The 20,360-nt window shown below is 42.9% G+C and overlaps 1 protein-coding gene across 19 annotated transcripts in view, besides 1 other annotated feature; it reads left to right on the top strand.

The window, feature by feature from the left end:
- Positions 1,340 to 1,509: an enhancer, noted in NCBI's record as "experimental_51593 CRE fragment used in MPRA reporter constructs". NCBI's record gives its function as "activates a minimal promoter by MPRAs in K562 erythroleukemia cells, with activity observed for both the introgressed and non-introgressed 19:52603123 variant alleles {active_cell/tissue: K562}" and the evidence as "EXISTENCE:reporter gene assay evidence [ECO:0000049][PMID:34662402]".
- ZNF841 (zinc finger protein 841) overlaps positions 5,529 to 20,360 on the top strand; it is a 37,276-nt gene continuing 22,444 nt past the window's right edge. For 5 of the 19 annotated variants that reach the window (NM_001369829.3, NM_001436340.1, NM_001321349.2 and 2 more), the window contains exons 1-4: positions 5,529 to 5,719; positions 7,323 to 7,448; positions 12,292 to 12,357; positions 16,416 to 16,507. In NM_001369829.3, the coding sequence (NP_001356758.1) occupies positions 16,493 to 16,507 (15 nt within the window). In that variant the 5' untranslated portion in view covers positions 5,529 to 5,719; positions 7,323 to 7,448; positions 12,292 to 12,357; positions 16,416 to 16,492. Of the gene's footprint in view, positions 7,449 to 12,291; positions 12,358 to 16,415; positions 16,508 to 20,360 lie in introns of all 19 variants that reach the window. The other 14 variants (XM_047438655.1, XM_047438652.1, XM_047438653.1 and 11 more) reach the window with 8 other exon arrangements.

Here is a 20,360-nt window from a genome sequence, read left to right as displayed (position 1 = left end):
AAGTACAAGGAAAGAAATGTAAATCTTTAAATTGGATTAAATCGTTTCTAGGAAATTGTATAATGATTTTAAAAATTATTTTTAAAATTACATTTTGGCCAGGCACAGTGGTTCACGCCTGCAATGCCAGCACTTTAGAATGTGGGGGTGGGGAGATCGCTTGAACCTAGGAGTTTTAGACTAGTTTGGGCAACATGGTGAAACCCCATCTCTACTAAAAATACAAAAACTGAGGTTGGGGTATTGCCTGAGCCTGGGGAGGTGGAGGCTGCTGTGGGGTGTGATTACATCGCTGCACTGCAGCCTGGGCAACAGAGTGAGACCTCATCTCAAAAAAAAAAAGAAAAAAGTTTTGCTACAGCTGTGAAATCATTAGCCTTTGAAAAATAATTCTTCTATTAAATAATTTAATATTTATTGTCTGTTAGATATTAATTTTATAGTACAGGTGTAAAAATATAGGTAATTTGTCTAAACAGTATTTCAGAAACACTTCCAACAATTATATTGTGTGAAGGGTTCTATGTATGCATGAAGAAAGGACATGTATAAAGTTTTTAGCATGGGGAAAATTGAGTTTTTATCAACTTAAACGTCAGGAGTTTCAAAAGTAAACATTCAGTGTTGAAATAAAAACTGTCTGAATCTATCTATCTAATATATATGTTTTTTTTTTTTTTTTTTTTTTGAGAGAGAGTGGTTGTGTTGCCCAAGCAATAGTGCAGTGGTGTGATCTCAGGTCACTGCAACCTCCACCTCCCAGGCTTGAGCAATCTTCCCACCTCAGCCTCCCGAGTAGCAGAGACTACAGGTGCATGCCACCACCCTTGGCTAATTTTTTTTTTTTTTTGTAGAGATGGGGTTTTGCCATGTTGCCCAGGCTTGTCTCAAACTCCTGGGTTCAAGCAATTTTCACACCTCAGCCTCCCAAAGTGCTGGGATTACAGGTGTGAGCCAGTGCACCCTGCCTTATTCCTTTACTTTCTTAAAAAACTTGCTGTCACTTTACTCTCTGGACTCCCCCCTAATTCTTTCTTGCACAAGATCCAAGAACCCCTTCTTCTGGGTTTAACTGCCTAATAGGTTCTCTTTTTCTGCTGCCTAGACAGAGCCAATTCCTCAAGACAGGGAAATTGTAATAGAGAAAGAGTTTAATTCATGTGGAGCTGGCTGTACAGGAGACTGAAGTTTTATTATTACTCAAATGAGTCTCCCTGAAATCTTGGGGATCAGGGTTTTTAAGGATAATTTGATGGGTAGGGGCCAGTGAGTCCAGAGTGATGACTGGTTGTTCAGAGATGAAATCAGAGAGTTGACACTGTCCTTTTGCACTGAGTCAGTTCCTGGGTGGTGTCACAAGACCAGATGAGTCAGTTTATTGATCTGGGTGTCAGGTGATCCATCAAGTGCAGGGACTGCAAAATTTCTCAAACACTGATCTTAGGTTTTAAAATACTGATGTTATTCCCAGGAACAATTTGGGAAAGGTGACAATCTTGTAGCCTCTAGCTGCATGACTCCTAAACTATAGTTTCTAATCTTGTGACTAACTTGTTAATCCTATAAAGGCAGTCTAGTCCCAAGCAGAAAGGGCATTTGTTTTGGGAAAGGGCTATTAATGCCCTTATTTTAAAAGATAAACTAAGTTCCTCCCAAAGCTAGTTTGGCCTACACCCAGGAGTGGACAAAGGCAGCTTGGAGGTTAAAAGCAAGATGGAGTTGGTTAGGTCGGATCCCTTTCACTGTAATAATTCTCAGTTATAATTTGCAATGGCGGTTTCAGGATCTGGATCAGGACCCCTTTCTGGCAACACGAGGATGGTTATGAATGCATCCAGACATCCAAAAAGCCACCTCTGAGAGCTAGAGATTTCCCTTTCCTATAGGTTCTTCGTCCCTTGTATGTCAACCCAAGGATTCACTGGGGATCTAGAACTGCGCAGGCCAGTCTAGGAAGAGAGAGACAGGAAAGAGAAGAAGAGGAGGTGAATTAGTTTTGAAGAAAAGAAAGAAGGTCCCGTGCTACCTCTTTTTTTCTGACAAACTTTTCATACTGGGAAATAGAATCCTGGTTTATTTGTAGTAAAACTAGGAGTCCAGGGATTTTATAGGAGGGTGAGAAAAATGCACTTTTATGGTATAGTCTGTGGAGACCTAATTAGAGAAAAGGAGTCAGCCTGGCAGGACCAGGGGAAAGCAAAGAGATAAAGCAAATAAGCTATAAATCTGCCTTTCTAGGCCAGGTGCGGTGGCTCACGCCTGTAATCCTAGCACTCTGGGATGCCAAGGCGGTCAAATTGCCTGAGCTCAGGAGCTCCAGACCACCCTGGGCAACATGGTGAAACCCTGTCTCTACGAAAATACAAAAAAAAGAAAAAAATTAGTTGGGCGTGGTCGTGGGTGCTTGTAGTCCCTGCTACTCTGGAGCCTGAGGCTCGAGAATTGCTTGAACCCAGGAGGCGAAGGTTGCAGTGAGCTGAGATCATGCCACTGCATTCCAGCCTGGGTGACAGAGGGAGACTCTGCCTCAAAAAAACAAAACAAAACAAAATTTTAAAAAACTGCCTTTCTTCATGGTCCAGGACATATAAACAAAATACAGGAAGCAGATAAGCTGTAGGTCTGTTTTTCTTTCTGGCTTAGGCCATATAGCCCTTCTGCGCAGATAACATACATAGCTCATAAACTTTCTGCTTCAATTTTTCATCAAACACCTAACAGAAGAAGGCAAGTTAGCTCCCTGCTTCCTTGGCGTTATCTTTCATTTATGTATTTGTTTATTTATTGAGACAAGAGTCTCACTCTGACTTCCAGGCTGGAGTGCAGTGGTGTGATCTTGGCTCACTGCAACCTCTGCCTCCCAGGCTCAAGCAAATCTCCCACCTCAGCCTCCTCAGTAGCTGGGAGTACAGGTGTGGGTCACCATTGCCAGGTAATTTTTGTATTTTTAGTAGAAACAGGGTCTCACCATGTTGCCCAGGCTGGGCTGGAACTGCCCACCTCGGCCTCCTAAAATGTGGAGATTACAGGGGCAAGCCAGTTTGCCCAGCTGAATCTCCTCTTCTTATAAAGAAATCAGCCAGATTGGATCAGAACCCACTTTAACAAGCTTATTTTTACTTGATCACTCCTGTAGATGCCATATATCCAAATACAGTTATATTCTGAGGTACTGGGTATTAGGACTTCAAGATAGGGTTTTTTTTGTGTGTGGAAATTTTTCTGCTCATAACACACTGTGTTCTGGACTCCTAAACTTTATGTCCTTCTTACATGCAAGATCCCTTCACTCCCATCAGAACAAAAATCTTTTATTTATTTATTTGAGATGGGGTCTCTCTCTGTCACCCAGGCTGGAGTGCAGTGGCGTAATCATGACTTGTCACAGTCTCGACCTCCTGGGCTCAAGTGATCCTCCTGCCTCAGCCTCCCAATAGCTGGGACCACACATGCAGGCCACCATGCCTGGCTAATTTAATTTTTTGTAGAGATGGGGTCTGACTATGTTGCCCAGGCTGGTCTCAAATCCTTGGCCTTAAGTGATCCTGCCACTTCAGCCGCCCAAGTAGCTGGGACTACAGGAGTGTGCCACTAAGCATGGCTAATTTTTATATCTTCTGTAGAGACGGGGTTCTTGCTATGTGCCCAGGCTGGTCTTGAACTCCTGAGCTCAAGTAATCTGCCAGACTCGGCCTCCTGAATTGTTGGGGTTACAGGCCTAAGCTACCTTGCCTGGCCCATCTGAAAAGTCTTAATCCATTTCAGTATCAACTCTAAGGCCCAAATATCACCTAAATATTATCTGAATCACATATGGGTGAGACACAAGGTGTGGTTCATCCTGAGGCAAAGTTTCTGCCCAGCTGTGAATCTGTGAAGCCAGAGAAGTTATCTGCTTCCAAAATACAATGGTGGGACAGGCATAGGAAACACCCTCAGCCCTGGAAACCACCCTTCTACTTTGTTACTCTGAATTTGATGTTTGTACTTAGCACGTGTAAGTAAGTGCATGAAGTATGTTTCTTTGTGTGTGTTGGGAACGGGTGCTCAGTGTCGCAAAAATCAACACTGAGACAAAGGATCTCTCAGCAAGGCTAGTTTACTTTCTGCAGAAAGGGTGCTGCTCACTAGCAGTCTTGCCACGAGAGTACACATGAACAAAAGAGAAGGGTCATTTATAACCTGACGCATCTGGCCGGGCGCGGTGGCTCATGCCTGTAATCCCAGCACTTTGGGAGGCCGAGGTGGGCGGATCACGAGGTCAGGAGATCGAGACCATCCTGGCTAACGCAGTGAAACCCCGTCTCTACTAAAAATACAAAAAATTAGCTGGGCGCAGTGGCAGGTGCCTCTAGTCCCAGCTACTCGGGAGGCTGAGGCAGGAGAATGGCGTGAACCCAGGAGGCAGAGCTTGCAGTGAGCCGAGATAGCGCCACTGCACTCCGGCCTGGGCGAAAGAACGAGACTCCGTCTCAAAAAAAATAATAATAATAATAACCTGACGCGTCCACCCTACTGCTGTGTCTGGTTTCCATTGGCTGGAATCGGACCCAATTCTGTGCTTGACCTGATTGGCTAGCACCTTAGAACTTCCCAAAAGAGGCAAAGGCAGAGGAGAACAAAGGAAGAGAGGAAGTAACTTGTGGAAGGCTGAGAGAGGCAAAAACACTTCCAAATAAGGAAGAGGAATAGGCTGTGACCTAATGCTTGCTTGGAACAATTCAGGCATGCCAGGGCAAATATCTAGGCTAAAATGTGGGAGCTAAGAACACAGAGTATATTGATTTATCTATTATGGCTAGCAGATATTTAAGAATATTAGCACAGGTCTTTGAGTAAATTTTGCTTCTAAGAGAGGTTACTATCTATTCTCAATTAGACTGGGAGGAAAGTCCCTTTGAAGAGGAACCTCTACTTATTTCATTTTCTACACTGTGTCTAGCACATTTCGCTTGGCATAATGTCTTCTGGGTTCCTGGATCCAGTCACTGCTCCACATCCAATCCCCACCGAGATCCCAGTTCCCTGACTACTGAGTAGCTTCAGCTTTTCTGGTAAGACTGGATGGAGTCCACCAGGCTCGGAAAAATCGGTTTTGACTTAAATCAGTTCAACTTGTTAAGAATAAATCATCTTAGTTTCCAGTATAAGTGGACCACAACTTTAAGATTCAACCTTAAATTCTGAAACATTAATTTAAAATGGGCAAGGAGCAACGCTGCTTCACAGGACAAGAAATAGTCACAAATACTCCCAAACCTGGAAAACAAAATCCTGCTGGGTGAGAGGCGGAGTGGAGAACAGGCCCCGCCTCGGCCCCGCCCACCCCTGGAGGCCCCGCTTCATCCCAGTTTTCGGTCCAGCCAAGCCCCACCTAGTCACGCCCCCTACCGCCCTGGGCCTCCCACCACCCTTTCGGGCCACTCCCAAGTCAGGCCAGTCTTTCCGCCCAGCCCTTTCCTAGTCGCGCCCCGCCTAGGCCCCGCCCCCAGGCCGCCCAGTTTTTCTTTCCGCGCCCAGTTTCCTGCACACCCGGAAGCAGATCGCGCTGGGGAAAGGCCACGTCGCTATGAGTGTGTTTCAGTCTACCTGGATTAAACGTTTGCTTCTCTTCGTCTACCTTGATTAAACGTGCACTTCGCAGTCCTCGGTTCTCCATACCCGTGACCTGGGGATCGCTACGGACCTTAAAATACCCGCAACAGCCCCTTCGTCCCAAGTAAGTAGGAGAATTGCTTCCCTTTCGGTTTAAAATCTCTCTGAGGCCGTTCCTTGCTCTCTGCCTTTCTTCCTTAGGACCATGTAGACAACCCCATTCAGGTAGTGTTCCCGCTTAAAACCCTCTGCTTGGGCCCCGCGCCAAGTCGAGTCCTCATTCGGGATGTGGACTAGCGCCCTTCGCGATCCCCGAGCTCCTCCGTCGTCTGCCCCTGGAGGGGAGCGCCCACTGTCCGGCTCCTGAAGGAGCCGCTTCTCCTCCCACGTCCTGGGATTCTGCAGACCCTCCCTGTCGTGAGACATCGTTCTCCGCGCCACCTCGTGTCGTCCTCACGCCGGGTCCTTCCGCTCCCCAGGCTTCCCCTTCACAGCCACTGCTTTTCTTGACTCCCCGTTGGGACAGGTTACCTGAGTCTGTCTTGTGACACCCAGTGTTCTTCCTTCCCAAATTTTACTCCACTGGAAAATGTGCTCTTCCGGGAGGTGGGCATCCTATTCCTCCCCTTTCCTCCCGAATGTGTGGGTGAGAGGGATCAGGAGAGGAAAAGACGGGGAACGACGGAGCAAAAGGAAAAACTGAGGAGAAAAGAATGAGGGAGACCCATAAATACACGGCAAAATGGATGATACTTTAGGGACTTGCAAAGAGAGCAAGAGTGAAAGAGAACGGATGGAAAAAGTAGCAGGGGGAGAAAAGCACACAGAGAAATTTAGAAAAAAAGGGGACCTTCAGAGAGATGAAGGGCAGCAAAATAGAGTGGGGCGGCAAAGGAGGAGGCACTGCAGACAGACAGACAGTGGGGAGAAGGTGAAAGAGTTGGAGCCGCGGCTGACAGAGCTACGTGGTGCTGGGACTGAAAGAGAGGGAGAGAGGGCAGTGGGTGACAAGCAGAGTAGAGGGAGAACCACAGCAGGGAGTAAGCCTAGGAAATTGGGGGTGCTAGAGAGTGGGAACAAAGGAGATGTAACAGGGAAGAGGGAATTTAACAAGGAGAGCAGAGAGGGAGCTTAGATGGGGGAAAAGAGGCAGAAATACGTGGAGATTGGGGACAATCGGAAAGATTGGGGAGAAAGAGCTACGAGAGGTGAAGTAAGTTGCAGAGCATTGGGCAGAACAGACATAAAAGAGGGAATAAAGAAAGGGGTGCAAAACAGAAAAGGAGAAAAAAAAGACGCTCAGAATGAGAGAGGGAAACACATAGCCGTGAAGAAAGCGGGAGAGGACCCCATCCAGATGCGTGACAGTTGATTGGATATGGATGGTGGTTGTAATATATTGATTTGTGGCTTTATACTCTGATTTGAAATATGTTTAAGTTGTACTCATGAGGATGAAAATCACCAAAGTTTTTTCTATAAGCCTTGTGCATTTTGTATGTATTTGTATCAAAAGATATTTGGAATTCCTATTTAGCCAGAGGGCAGTGACTTGATCCAGTTATTTGTGGTAACTCTCTTCTTCCCAATGATGGAGTAGAGCATAAAGGAGGGGAGAAATGGGGCAAGAAATGACTGACTGTCACTACAAGATATGTCTTTGGTGTTTTTTTTGGCTTTGTTCTGTTTTGTTTTGGGGGGGGACATGGTCTCTCTCTGCCGCCTAGGCTGGAGAGCAGTGGCATGATCTCGGCTCACTGCAGCTTCTACTTCCTGGCCTCAAGCAGTCTTTCCACCTCAGCCTCTCAACGCACTGGAATTACAGATGTGAGCCACCACACTAGGCCTACAAGGTATGTCTTCGCAGAAGCATTGAAAGTCTTGTTTTTTTGTAATGAATTTACTTTTTTCTTTGTAGTTGCTTTACAGTTAATTAATTGTTATTTTGGAAGCTTGAGATACATTTTATTCAATTGCTTCTTTCCTATAGTTGCTAACTCCAGAAATAAGATTTGGTGGCATCCAATAATCAGCTGATCTCATTCATTTCTGAATATTAAGTGCCATCATTTTTTGAACTTTTACCCCATAATTTATTAGATTTTTCAAAAACTTTCCAAACTGTTAAAGTGTCCAATATAGTATAGTCACCATGGTGTACATTAGCTTCCTCAGAACTTCTTCATTTTATAACAGAAAATTTGTACCCTTTAACCAACATTTTCCATTTTCACCCCCCAGCAGCCTGTGGCAACAACTGTTCTACCCTGTTACTATCAATTGGACTTTTTTAGATTCCACTTGTGAGGTCATACAGTAATTGTCTTTTAGTGTCTGTCTTATTTCACCTAGCATAATGTCTTCCAGGTTCATCCATGTTGTTGCAAATAGCAGGATTTTCTTCTTTTTAGGGTTGGATAATATTCCATTATATATATGTACACATGAACACTCTGTATATGTCTATATACACACATATTTATTCATGGATGGGCACTTGGGTTGTTTCCATATCTTGGCTGTTATGAATAATACTGTAGTGATCATGGGGGACAGATATTTTGTAAGGTTTTCTTTTTTTTTGAGACAGAGCCTCACCCTGTTGTCCAGGCTGGAGTGCAATGGTGCAATCTCAGCTCACTACAACCTCCACTTCCTAGGTTCAAATGATTCTCCTGCCTCAGCCTCCCGAGTAGCTGATATTACAGGCACCCGCCACCACGCCCAGCTTTTTGTGTTTTTAGTAGAGACAGGGTTTCACCATGTTGGCCAGGCTGGTCTCGAACTCCTGACCTCGTGATCTGCCCGCCTTGGCCTCCCAAAGTGTTAGGATTACAGGCGTGAGCCGCCACACCCAGCCATTTTTTTGTTTTTGTCTGTGTTTTTTCAGCAGATACATGGTCTCTGCTATGTTGTCCAGCATGATCTCTAACTACTGGTGTCAAGTGATCTTGTCGCCTCAGCTTCTCAGAGTGCTGGGATTACAGCCATGAACTGCTATGCCTGGCCTAGATGTCTCTTAAAGATACTGGTTTCATTTATTTCCTTTGGATATATACCCAGAAATGGGATTGCTGGATTGCATTGTTGTTCTATTTTTAATATTTTGAAGAATGTCCATAGTGTTTTTCATAATGGCTGTACTGATGTACACTCCCAGCAACAGTGTACAAGGGCTCATTTTTCTCCATATCATGCTAACACCTGTTATCTCTTGCCTATTTAAAATAGCCTTCGTAAGAGGTATGAGGTGATAGCTTATGGTGGTTTTGATTAGCATTCCTCTGATGATTAGTGATCTTGAGCATCTTATTATATACCTGTTGGTCATTTGTATGTCTTATTTGGAAAATGTTCAGGTCCTTTGCCCATTTTTATTGAGATTATTTGGGGTATTTTGCTGTAGAATTGTAGGAGTTTTTATATATTTTGGATATTAACCACTTATTAAATATATGGTTTGCAGATACATACTTCCATCTTACAAATTGCTTTTTCATTTAGTTCATTGTTTCCTTTGGTGTGCAGGAGCTTTGCCCCTCCCCCACCCCACCCCCAAAATGGAGTCTCACTCTGTTGCCCAGGCTAGAGTGTGGTGGCTCAATCTCAGTTCACTGCAATGTGTGCCTTCCGAGTTCAAATGATTCTCCTGCCTCAGCCCCCGTAGTAGCTGGTATTACAGGTTGCACCACCACTCCCAGCTAATTTTTTAGTAGAGACAGGGTCTCACCATGTTGGCCAGGCTGGTCTCGAACTCCTGACCTCAAGTGCTCTGCCTGTCTTGGCGTCCCAAAGTGCTGGGATTACAGGCATGAGCCACTGCGCCTGGCCAAACTTTTTAGTTGGACATAGTCCCACTTTTTAGTTTGATGTAGTCCCACCATTTGTTGCCTGGGCTTTTGGTGTCATATCCAAAAAAATCATTGCCAAGATCAATGTCAAGGAGCTTTTTTTCTATTTTCTGGGGTTTTACGGTTTTAGATCATATATTTAAATCTTTAATCTATTTTGAGTTTATCTTTGCATATAGTGTGAGATAAGGGTCCAGTTTCATATTCTTTTGAATGTGAATATACAGTTTTCCCGACAGGATTTATTGATGAGACTGTCCTTTCCTCATTGTATATTCTTGGTGCCCTTGTCAAAGGCTAGTTGTATATGTGCATGTTTATTTCTGGGCTCTCTTGTGTTTGATTGTTCTCTGTGTGTTTTTATGCCAGTATTATACTGTTAGGATTGCTGTACCTTTATAATATAGTTTGAAATCAGAAAGTATGATGCCTCTAGCATGTTCTTTTTCAACACTGCTTTGGCTCTTTGGAGTTTTTTGTGGTTGTATAAAAGTTTTAGGGTTTTTTCTTTTTTTATCTGTGAAAAATAGCATTGGAGTGTTGATAGGGATTGTGCTGAATTTGCAGATCACTTTTGGTAGTATGGACATTTTAATCATTTTAAAATATTCTTACAATCTATGAACATGGGATAGCTTTCCATTTCTTTGTGTGTTCTTCAATGTTTTTTTTATCCTTTGTTGCAGCCCCAATGCCTGTGGACTGAACAAAGGGGGACGGACACAGGAATAAAGACAAAGACAAAAGAGTATATTTGGAAGAAGGGGTCAGGGGCTCCTTGCTTCTAGTGAGCAAGAGTCCTGAGCTTTTAGAGCCCTTCATATTTATTGAGTAAAGGAGATAGGGAGAAGCGGGTGGTTGTCAGTCAGCTGCTTGACTTGGTGCAGGCTTGCACGACTGCATTCTCTGAACAGTAGCCTCCAGATGTTTCAGTAGATAACCTCAAGGAGCATGGTGCCAGGGAGTAATTGCACTCAGCATACCTTCTGGCGGCAGGGCAGATGTGAGTTTGCCCACATCCTGCATTCATGATAAACAGTTTGCTGTTTAATCATATAGCCTTCAGTGGAATGCAGAGTTGGTCATGACCCTTTGGCTTTTGGCTCTCTACAGTCCTTTCTTTTTTCTTTCTTTCTTTCTCTTTCTTTCTTTCTTTCTTTCTTTCTTTCTTTCTTTCTTTCTTTCTTTCTTTCCTTCCTTCCTTCCTTCCTTCCTTCTTTCTTTCTTTCTTTCTTTTTTTAAGAGACCAGCCTCACATTGTTACTCAAGCTGGAGTGCTGGCATGCAGTGGGGCGATCATACCTCACTGCAGGTTTGAACTCCTGGGCTCAGGCAACCCTCCTGCCTCAGGCTCCCAGGTAGCTAAGACTATAGGTATGCACGACCATACCTGGGTGAAGGGCTAAGACTACAGGTATGCACCACCATACCTGGCTAATTTCTTTTCTTTGTAGAGAAAGAGTCTCACTATGTTGCCCAGGCTGGTCTCAAACTCCTGACCTCAAGCAATCCTCCCACCTCAGCCTCCCAAAGCACTGGGATTACAGGCATGAGCCACTTTCCTGGCCTCTTCAATATCTTTTATCAGTGTCTTAAGAGCTTTCAGTGTACAGATCTTTTACTTCACTGGTTAAATCTGTTCCTAAGTATTTTATTCCTTTTGATGCTATTACAAATAGGACTGTTTTCTTTATTTCTTTTTTCAGATATTTTGTCTTTAGTGTATAGAAAGATTTAGGGCCCCTCTTCTGAGACATCCTCACTGAACTTAATCTAGCCAATGCCCAGCTGCCTTTAAACTAGACTTAATATTGTCAGCACTTGCTGGCAAGTTTTCTCAGCAGGCCCAACTTTGTGGTCTTCATACTGAAGGCCCAGGGTCCTTCAGTTTGCAGTTTGTGTACACTCCTGCTGTGTTGCATGTGCCCAGAGATCCTGTACCTTTTAGCCTAGTTTGTTCATGCATGCATGGAGGAGAGGTAGAAAAATGGGGGAAAATGGAGGGGAGTCCATAGAAGGCTCCAGAAAGCAAGGGTGGGCCTTCAGATGAGCCATGGTATGGTGTGTGCACCTGTCCCAAGTGTGGTTATAAGAGCAAGGGGTATGTGGAACTCTTGGAAAGGAATTTCTTAGGTCTGGCAGAAGCACTTGGAAGTGGGATTATGAGTGGTTGTGCATGGATCATTTTGGAATGCCACAGTTTCTTTATTTTTTGCTCGGTTGCTCAGGCTGGAGTGCAGTGATGTGACCTCGGCTCACTGTAATGTCCGCCTCCCGGGCTGAAGGCATCCTCTCACCTCAGCCTCCCGAGTAGCTGAAACTACAAGCGTGTGTCACCATGTCCGGCTGTTTTTTTTTGTATTTTTTAGTAGACTCGGGGTTTTGCCATGTTGCCCAGTCTGGTCTGGAACTTCTGGGCTCTAGTGACCTGCCCACCTTGGCCTTCCACAGTGCTGGGATTACAGGGGTGAGCAATCATGCCTGGCTCATTAATGATTTTCTTCATAGCATTTGGGACCCCATCTACTGCCTCTTGGTTGGAGTGGCTGCTTCTGTTATCTTGACATTTTTTAAGCCAAACTTCTTAAATTATCAGTCCATATTTTGCTGGCATCAAACTCTCCAGCTTTAGATCCTTTACCTTCCTAAAGTTGTCATAAAATAACTTCCCTTTTTCTCAAATCATATTAGAGTCTACAGGTATGCCTTCATTATAGTGATTTTGCCCCTGTATAAAGCTGCATTTTCAATATGAGATAAAAAAGGTATTTAGCAAAAAGTACATTGTTTTCGTGCCTACTGGTGTAGCTGCAGTGACGGCTTCATGAATTTTCTCTTTTAACAGTGGTCCTTACACCAGATTAATTTATCTTGAAATGGCGGGCAACTGAATCGCACACCTCAATCTATGGTACGTATTAAGCAAGTCAACATGTTCTTATAATGTCATGGCTTTTCTCTACTTCTTGGGAGCACTTCCAGCATCACTAGTGGCACTTCAGATGGGTCCTGTGTTGTTATTCAGAGTTTATCGTATTGCACCAAACAATGAAAAATGTGCCAGAACCACAGAGATCAATTTTTACTGCGGTCTGCAATTTACTAGAGAGATTAACAGTTCACATGGAGATGATTAACATCACGGGGCACATTAAGCAGGTACCTGAGCTCACCACAATAGCAATGGGAGGTGGCTATGAAATTATTATAGAAGTTCAGTATGTAGTACAGTTCATTAATGCAGTTATGATTGAATACTGCGTCTTTACATTTTTTTACATTTATTTTGACTGTAGATGGAACCATATACAGTCTAGAGGTGTTTATATAAATTTGGTACATTTTAACTTAGAATAGATTTGTGTGTGTTTTATGGTACTAAGTGATAAAATAGACTAATAGTTACATATATTTTATGCATTTCTGGCATACCTTTTTCTTAATTAGGGTACATGGTTCATCTGTGAGTTTTTTCAAATTGTTGCAAGTCTTCAAAATATTTTTCAGATGTTTATTGAAGTAAATTCTTTTATAAATGGACCCATACAATCCAAACTCATATTGTTCTATCGTCAACTGAAGTGAGAAGCAAGGCCTAAGTGGAGTCCACAGGGAGGTTGGGCAGCTGGAGGGTTGGTTCGTTGGTCTTGAGAGCGTGGAACCCAGAACTGTACTGCCATAAGCACTTTTCATGGTGACTTCTGCGGGGTCTTTTGGGAGTGCAGGAATCATGCAACTTACCGAAGTATTATCTGGAAAATCACAGAGATCATTTAGGGGGGCTACCTTTGTTTTTTTTTTTTTTTTTGGAGTATTTTGGGCTGCACGTTAAGATGGTTATAGATGCATTTTGGATGCATTATCTAAATGTCAATATGGAGAGTTTCCTTGGAAGATGTTGGGGTCTCATTGGGGCATGTGTGCATCATTGAAGATATCTGTTTTAGTAGATAGTGGTGCCAGTATTCGGGGGTGGGGTCATTACAGGCATGGACCACCGTGCCCAGCTAATTTTTGTATTTTTAGTAGAGACGGGGTTTCACCACGTTGGCCAGGCTGGTCTCAATCTCCTGACCTCAGGTGATTTGCCCACCTCAGCCTCCCAAAGTGCTGGGATTACAAGTGTGAGCCACCGCGCCGGGCCTCTCTGTTTATTTTTTGGAGTTTTTTTTCCCCTAAACCTGGCCCATTTCAAGGTTCAGTTTGATAATGTGGCACTCAGCACAAGAGACTTCATTCTGGCTTGGTCTGGTAGTTCGGGAGGCTAGTCCAAAACAACAGCCTTCCCATAAAAAACAATGAGATCATGTCCTTTCCCAGGACATGGATGGAGCTGGAGGCCATTATCCTTAGCAAACTAACACGGGAACAGAAAACCAAATACTGCATGTTCTCACTTACAAGTGGGAGGTAAATGATGAGAATACTTGGACACATAGAGGGAAACAACACACACTGGGATCTACCTGAGAGTGGAAGGTGGGAGGAGGGAGATGATCAGGAAAAATAACTTATGAATACTAGGCTTAATACCCGGATGATGAAATAATGTGTACAACACATCCCCATGACCCATTTACCTATGTAACCAGCCTGCACGTCCTGCACATGTACCCCTGAACTTAAAATATAAGTTAAAAAGAAAACAACGAAAATACTTTGGGCTTCCATAAAATTTGTTTAACTGTGTCATTCATTTTTACTTCTACAGAATTACTTTAAACAGTGTTTACTGATGGTGGTGTATTGCCCATTAAATGCATGCACACACACAGACCCTAAAGCCTCTAGTTTCCTTCCACTGTGCCCTAATTAAAACAAAACATACCATTAACTGTGTTTCTGCCTGTAGTGAGTACCCCTCTTCTGTGCTTCATTTAAGACCATAATACAATACAATCTTGTTCAGAGTCTCTGTCTTCACTTGTTGCCTCCAATTGTGTCTTGAATGCATTGGATGAAACTTTCATATCCACCATTCCACTGATAACTTTATTTTTCAGAGTCACCAGTGACCTCCCCATTTCTAAATCCAATGTATTTCATTTCCTGCTTTACTCTTTCTTTGCCTGTCAGGAGCTATTTGATTTTCTTGTCACCTCCCTGACCATTTCACACTTTCCTCTGCTGCTGTGTCCTGACTCTGAATGTTTCCCAATGTGGGAATGACTCATGGCTTAGTCCTTGAACCTCTTCTTGTTTCTGTCCACACCCACTGTCTTTCCTCATCATCTCATCTTATGAATTTAAACCCCACTGTATTAGTCCATTCTTGAATTGCTATAATGAAATACTGGAGACTGGGTAATTTATAAAGAAAACAGGTTTAATTGGCTCACAGTTCTGCAGGCTGCACAGGAAGCATGGCGACATCTGCTTCTGGGGAGGCTGCAAGAAGATTCCAGTCATGGCAGGTGAAGGAGGAACAGGCGTCTCACATGGCGGGAGCAGGAGCAAGAGAGAGTGAGGGGGGAGGCGCTACACACTTCTAAACAACCAGATGTCGTGAGAACTCACTATGATAAGAACAGCACCAAGGGGTGGTGTGAAACCATTCATCACAAATCCACCCCCATGATCCATCCACCTCCCACCAGGCCCCACCAGTAACAGTGGGGATTACAATTCAGTGTGAGATTTGGGCCAGGGACACAGAGCTGATCCATATCACCCACCTACCCACCTACACGTCTCCATGTCCCCTGCAGACCTGTCCCCTGAACTCTAGAATTCTGTGTCCTTTTGTCCTCTCCTCTCTCTGCTTAGCCATCTAACAGGTATCTCCACCAAAAGTGATTGCCTGAACTCACCAAGTACATTCCCCTGCACTCCTGCACATCTCAGATGATGGTGACCCTGTACTTCCTGGCTTTAGCTTTACATGTCAGCATATATTTGAAACAGAGAAAACATGACATTAAAAAGAAGTGCTTTAATTCATGTGATAAAGAAAAGTTATGTTTACTTAAAAAGGGTGAGGAAATGCATAGTTTCTGAAATTACTGTGAGCTGTGGGAGAAAGATGTTTGAATACCTCATCTCTACCTAATCTGCTCCCCAGAACCTCTCTGACCTCATCTCCTCCCTGTGTCCTTCCTGCTCCCTCTGCTCCAGCCACACAGGCCTCTTTCCTGTTCCCTGGGCTGAGGTTGCTCCTGCCTCAGGGCCTCTACCTGGGCTGTCTGGCCCCTCAGCTGCAGGTGCAAACATCCTTCCTTCTTGAGGTCTTTGTTCTGATATCACCTTCTCCATTGGGACTTCTGTGCCTCACCCTCCTCTCACCATTTAACACTCCAGCCACACCCTCACCCCACCCCTGGTGCATATTATGTGTCTCTGTGTTTCTGGTCCATTGTGTTCTACTGTCTACAAACTGGTAACAGTGAAGCCCCAAGGGGACAGCAGAGCTGGGAGGATGGGGCTGTGCTAGTCTTGCCCCCTTTAAGATGTGTTCAACCCTGGCTTCACATTAGCGTGCTGAGGCAGTTTGCAAATACACGTTTTGTGCCCTTTTACCATAGATTCCACTTCCAGTAGGTAGGATGGACTCAACCTCCATATTGTTTAAAGTACCCAAATTGATTCTAATTTGTATCCAGCATTGAGCGTCCAGCCTTTGTGTCTTCTGTTTCTGAGAGCTGAGCTCAGCCTGTGATCCACAGGGAGGTGAGGGGGCTGTGCTCTGTATGGGGTTTGATCAGGGATGGGTCTGTGTCCTGAAGGGAAGCATAGTCCAGCCCAGCTCCCCACTGTTGCAGGGTGTGTGGGGGCTTCTCTGGGAGGGGAACAAGTTCTGAAGAAAAGGGTGAAAAACTTACTTGGTCTTTGTGTAGGAGTTTATTATGCTTGCATCCCCCTGGTGCACTGGGCTGTCTCTCCACATGCTGAGGCCTTCCCTGTGGGCATGGTTGTGGCACAGAAAGGAATGTGTTGTTTCCAAGGATTAAACAACATATTTTTGACTTTCAGATTTGACTTTTAAAGAATTAATTATATTGACTGAGAGAGAGGCCCAGGAGAGAAAGAAGAAAGAAAAGGAGCCAGGGATGGCTCTTCCTCAGGTAAAGTGATAATCTTGGTGGATTGTTCTGTCTCCTCCCTTTTTGAAATGCAGGGCATTGGAGCTGCAAATCTTCTCTGAGTCTGAAGTATCCTGCCTGACACATTTGCTCGCACTCACCCATGCCTTCCTTCAGTCCCTCTCTTCTGCACTTAGATTCCAGATCTCACAGTGACTCAGTGACATGAGCTTGGGAAGAGGCTCCACTGGGCATGGTCCTGGGAAGGGCTCACACCCAGACATGGATGGAGACAGGGTGTGAGTTCTGTGGTGTCAGCTTTTGGGCAGCAGAGATTGTTTAGGGGCAACATCTGAATGCACTGTCAGCTCTCAGTAGACCAGGAGTAGAGAAGCTGTATGTGGAAGTCACATGTTAATATGCAAAAATACCTCATAAATTCTTGAAAAGATGCCTCTAAGGGGAGATCTTTTCTGCCTGATTTTATACCACATTTGAAGCTATAATGAATCAGTCACTCTTTCTAACTCCACAATCTTAATGACCGGGAATGGAATGGAAAACTAGGTACAGACATCAGTGATAGAGGTTGTTTTATTCCATCATTGATTTTAAAATATGAAATCAACCTGAATGTCAGATTAATTTAGCCATTCTCAGCATATCCATCCCACAGAGAATGTGGTGTTCCTGCTGGGACTCTTACCGGCAGTTGTTTTTTGTAAAACGGTTATAATTTTGCTCAGATGTAAGAGCCAAACTTTTTTGATGTCAGAGAAGATGGAGCCAAATTCTGTCATTCCACCAATTATTATTAAATATTACATTTATTTTAAACATCACATGATATATATATTTGTTTTGTGGTAAAAGTCCAAGCAGAGATGGAATTTAGACATTAAGAAGGTGATGCAACATAAGGATGGTAGGGAATAACGTGTTATTATATGTGAAATTTATGCTAAATGAGATTTTAGCTGTTTTTGCCACAAAAGCAAAAAAAAAAAAAAGGTAACTATGAGATACGGATATACTAATTTGTTAAACTGTCGTGAGTTTTTTACTATCTATACCTTGCTATATTGTGTACCTTAAATATACACAATAAAATTTGTAAGCAAACAAGTAAAAAACAGGGCATCAAGAACACCCTTCATAACCTAAAAAAAGAACATCAAGGCATATATATTTAAAAACTTTTAACTACAGAACATGAAATAGCTCCTAGAATGCAGTAAAAGAAAATTGAGCATAAAATGAAAATTATTTTATTTTGATTTCCACAAAATAATGAAATGTCCTCACAGTCCAAGGAATTGGAAAATGGAAATACAAAGAATTTTTATTTTTTTTAGATCCTCAAAGAGAAAAAAGAACATAGTAGTATTTTTTTTTTTTTTTTTAAAGAGTGGGACATGTCATGTGTCATTGGTGGGAGGGGGCACCCTTGAACTTGGGGTAGTGGGGAATCTTGCCAGATTCACCAAAATAGGAAATGCACCATCCTAGAAGAGGCAATCACTCTTTCAATTACCCACCCAGAGGAACCCAGGTTCCTTTTCCCTGTCACATTCTCCACCATGCCTCATGTTTCATTGAGGAGCTACTATTGTAAGTTCTGTGGCAAGAGTCAGTGAGAGGTGTCAAGATGCATTTACACGTCATTATGAGATTTTAGAAAACAATTCTTAAGTGAATGTTCTGCTGTATTTTGCAAGTTTTTGAAATGTACATTTTTTTTTTTTTTTTGAGACGGAGTCTTGCTCTGTCGCCCAGGCTGGAGTGCAGTGACGCAATCTCAGCTCACTGCAAACTCCGCCTCCCGGGTTCACACCATTCTCCTGCCTCAGCCTCCTGAGTAGCTGGGACTACAGGCACCTACCACTGTGCCCAGTTAATTTTTTGTATTTTTAGTTGAGATGGGGTTTCACCGTGTTAACCAGGATGGTCTCGATCTCCTGACCTAGTGATCCGCCTGCCTCAGCCTCCCAAAGTGCTGGGATTACAGGTGTCAGCCACCGTGCCCAGCCTGAAATGTACATGTTTTTATGTTAATAAACACTAATAGCGTATTTTGCATCCTCTTTGGAGCAATTTCTAAATGAAGACATATGGATCTTTTACAATTTTTCATTTTTGCAAAGAATGTCACTGTGGCTTCCTCTGTGCATGCTGTCTTCACCACAAGTGTCTGAGGGTTACTTCAATGGCAGTTCAAAGAATGATTGCTTCTTTTAGGATGGTATACCACAAAAGCAAAAATAAGTAAATGTTTGTTTTATCTTCTGGAAGGCCTGGCTCACGGTGTGATTATAAAATATGAAGTTTCTTTAAAATCTCATGTTTCTTGCTTACATTTTCTTTGCATGAATTTTTTTGATTGAATCTTTAATTTGAATTTTTGTGTATATCTTTTTGTAGATTATATTTGATTGCTTTTAAAGTTTCAGATTATAAATGTCATAATAGGTTCATATGAAGATTGGCAAACCTCTCCATTTTCTTTCCAAAATTTTGTTGGTTCTTTTTTTATACAACAGTCACATTTTATTAAATTCCCACATATTTTGTTTGTGTTTGAATGGCCATGAATTTTTACAGTCGCAGGTCTTGTCACCATCACATCTTCCTATAAGAATTGAGTTTGTCAGTCAGTGATCATATCTTTATTATGTCTTTCAGTAAAGCTTGTTTGTTTGCTTACAGTTTAGTAATGTTAGGTATATTCACATTATTTATTGGGCTTTCAGGATACATACGTTCTTGATGCTTGATGGTTTCCCCATGAGCCCTTTAGACTCTCTTTATTTTTCTTTATTTTTTATAGTTTTTGTTTTCCTCCGTGTCAAAATCCCCTTTGAGTTCACTGATTCCTTCTTCTGCCTCATTAAGTCAGCTGTTGAATTCATCTAGCGAATTTTTCAACTCAGTTATTGTATTTTTAACTCGACTTTTTTTCTTTCTTTTGTTTTGTTTTCAGGCAGGGTTTCACTCTTTCCCAGGCTGGAGTGCAGTGGCACGATCTTGGATCACTGTATCCTCTGCCTCCCGGGTTCAAATGAACCTCCCACTTCAGCCTCCTGAGTAGCTGGGACTACAGGCATGCACCATCACACCTGCCTAATTTTTGTACTCTTTGTAGAGATGGGATTTTGCCATGTTGCCCTGGCTGGTCTCAGAACTCCTGGGCTTAAGCAATTACCCCATCTTGGGCTCCCAGAGTGTTGGAATTACAGGCGTGAGCCACGGTGCCCAGCCTTAGAATTTCTTTTTGATTTTTCTTTATAGCTTCTATTTCTGTTGATATTCTTCTTTGCATGCATAGTTCATATAGTTTTCCTGATTTCGTGAGCTTGTCTGTGTGTGCTATCTTTTAACTCATTGAGCATTCTTGTGGCTGCTATTTCAAATTCTTTGGTAATTCACATATAGTCAGCCCTCTGTATTCATGGCTCGTGCAGCCATAGATGGAGCCAACTATGAACTACAAATAGCCAGAAAAAAATGGATGGTTTCATCTGTGTTGAACACGTATGGTCCTTTTTTTCTTGTCATTATTTCCTAAACAATGCAGTATAACAACTACTTATGTAGCATTTACATTGTATTAGCTATTATAAGTAATGTAGAGATGATTTAAATCATATGGGAAGATATAGGTAGGTTATATGCAAATACTATGCCTTTTTATATAAGGGACTTCAGTATCCATAGATTTTGGTCCCCTTAGGGAATCTTGGAACCAATCCTCTGCATATACTGAGGGTGATCCCCATTTCCTTTTAGTTCTTCAAAGCCAAGATTTAAATCACCATTTCTTTAGTGTAGGTTTGTAGAGACTTAATTGGTTTCTTTTTATGGACTGTATTTTCCTATTTCTTTGTAAGTTTTATTA

This window comes from Homo sapiens, chromosome 19 (assembly GCF_000001405.40).
Source record: "Homo sapiens chromosome 19, GRCh38.p14 Primary Assembly".
Lineage (NCBI taxonomy): Eukaryota > Metazoa > Chordata > Mammalia > Primates > Hominidae > Homo > Homo sapiens.
Note: the sequence above shows the minus strand (reverse complement) of the source record. Positions and strands in the feature narration are given on the sequence as shown.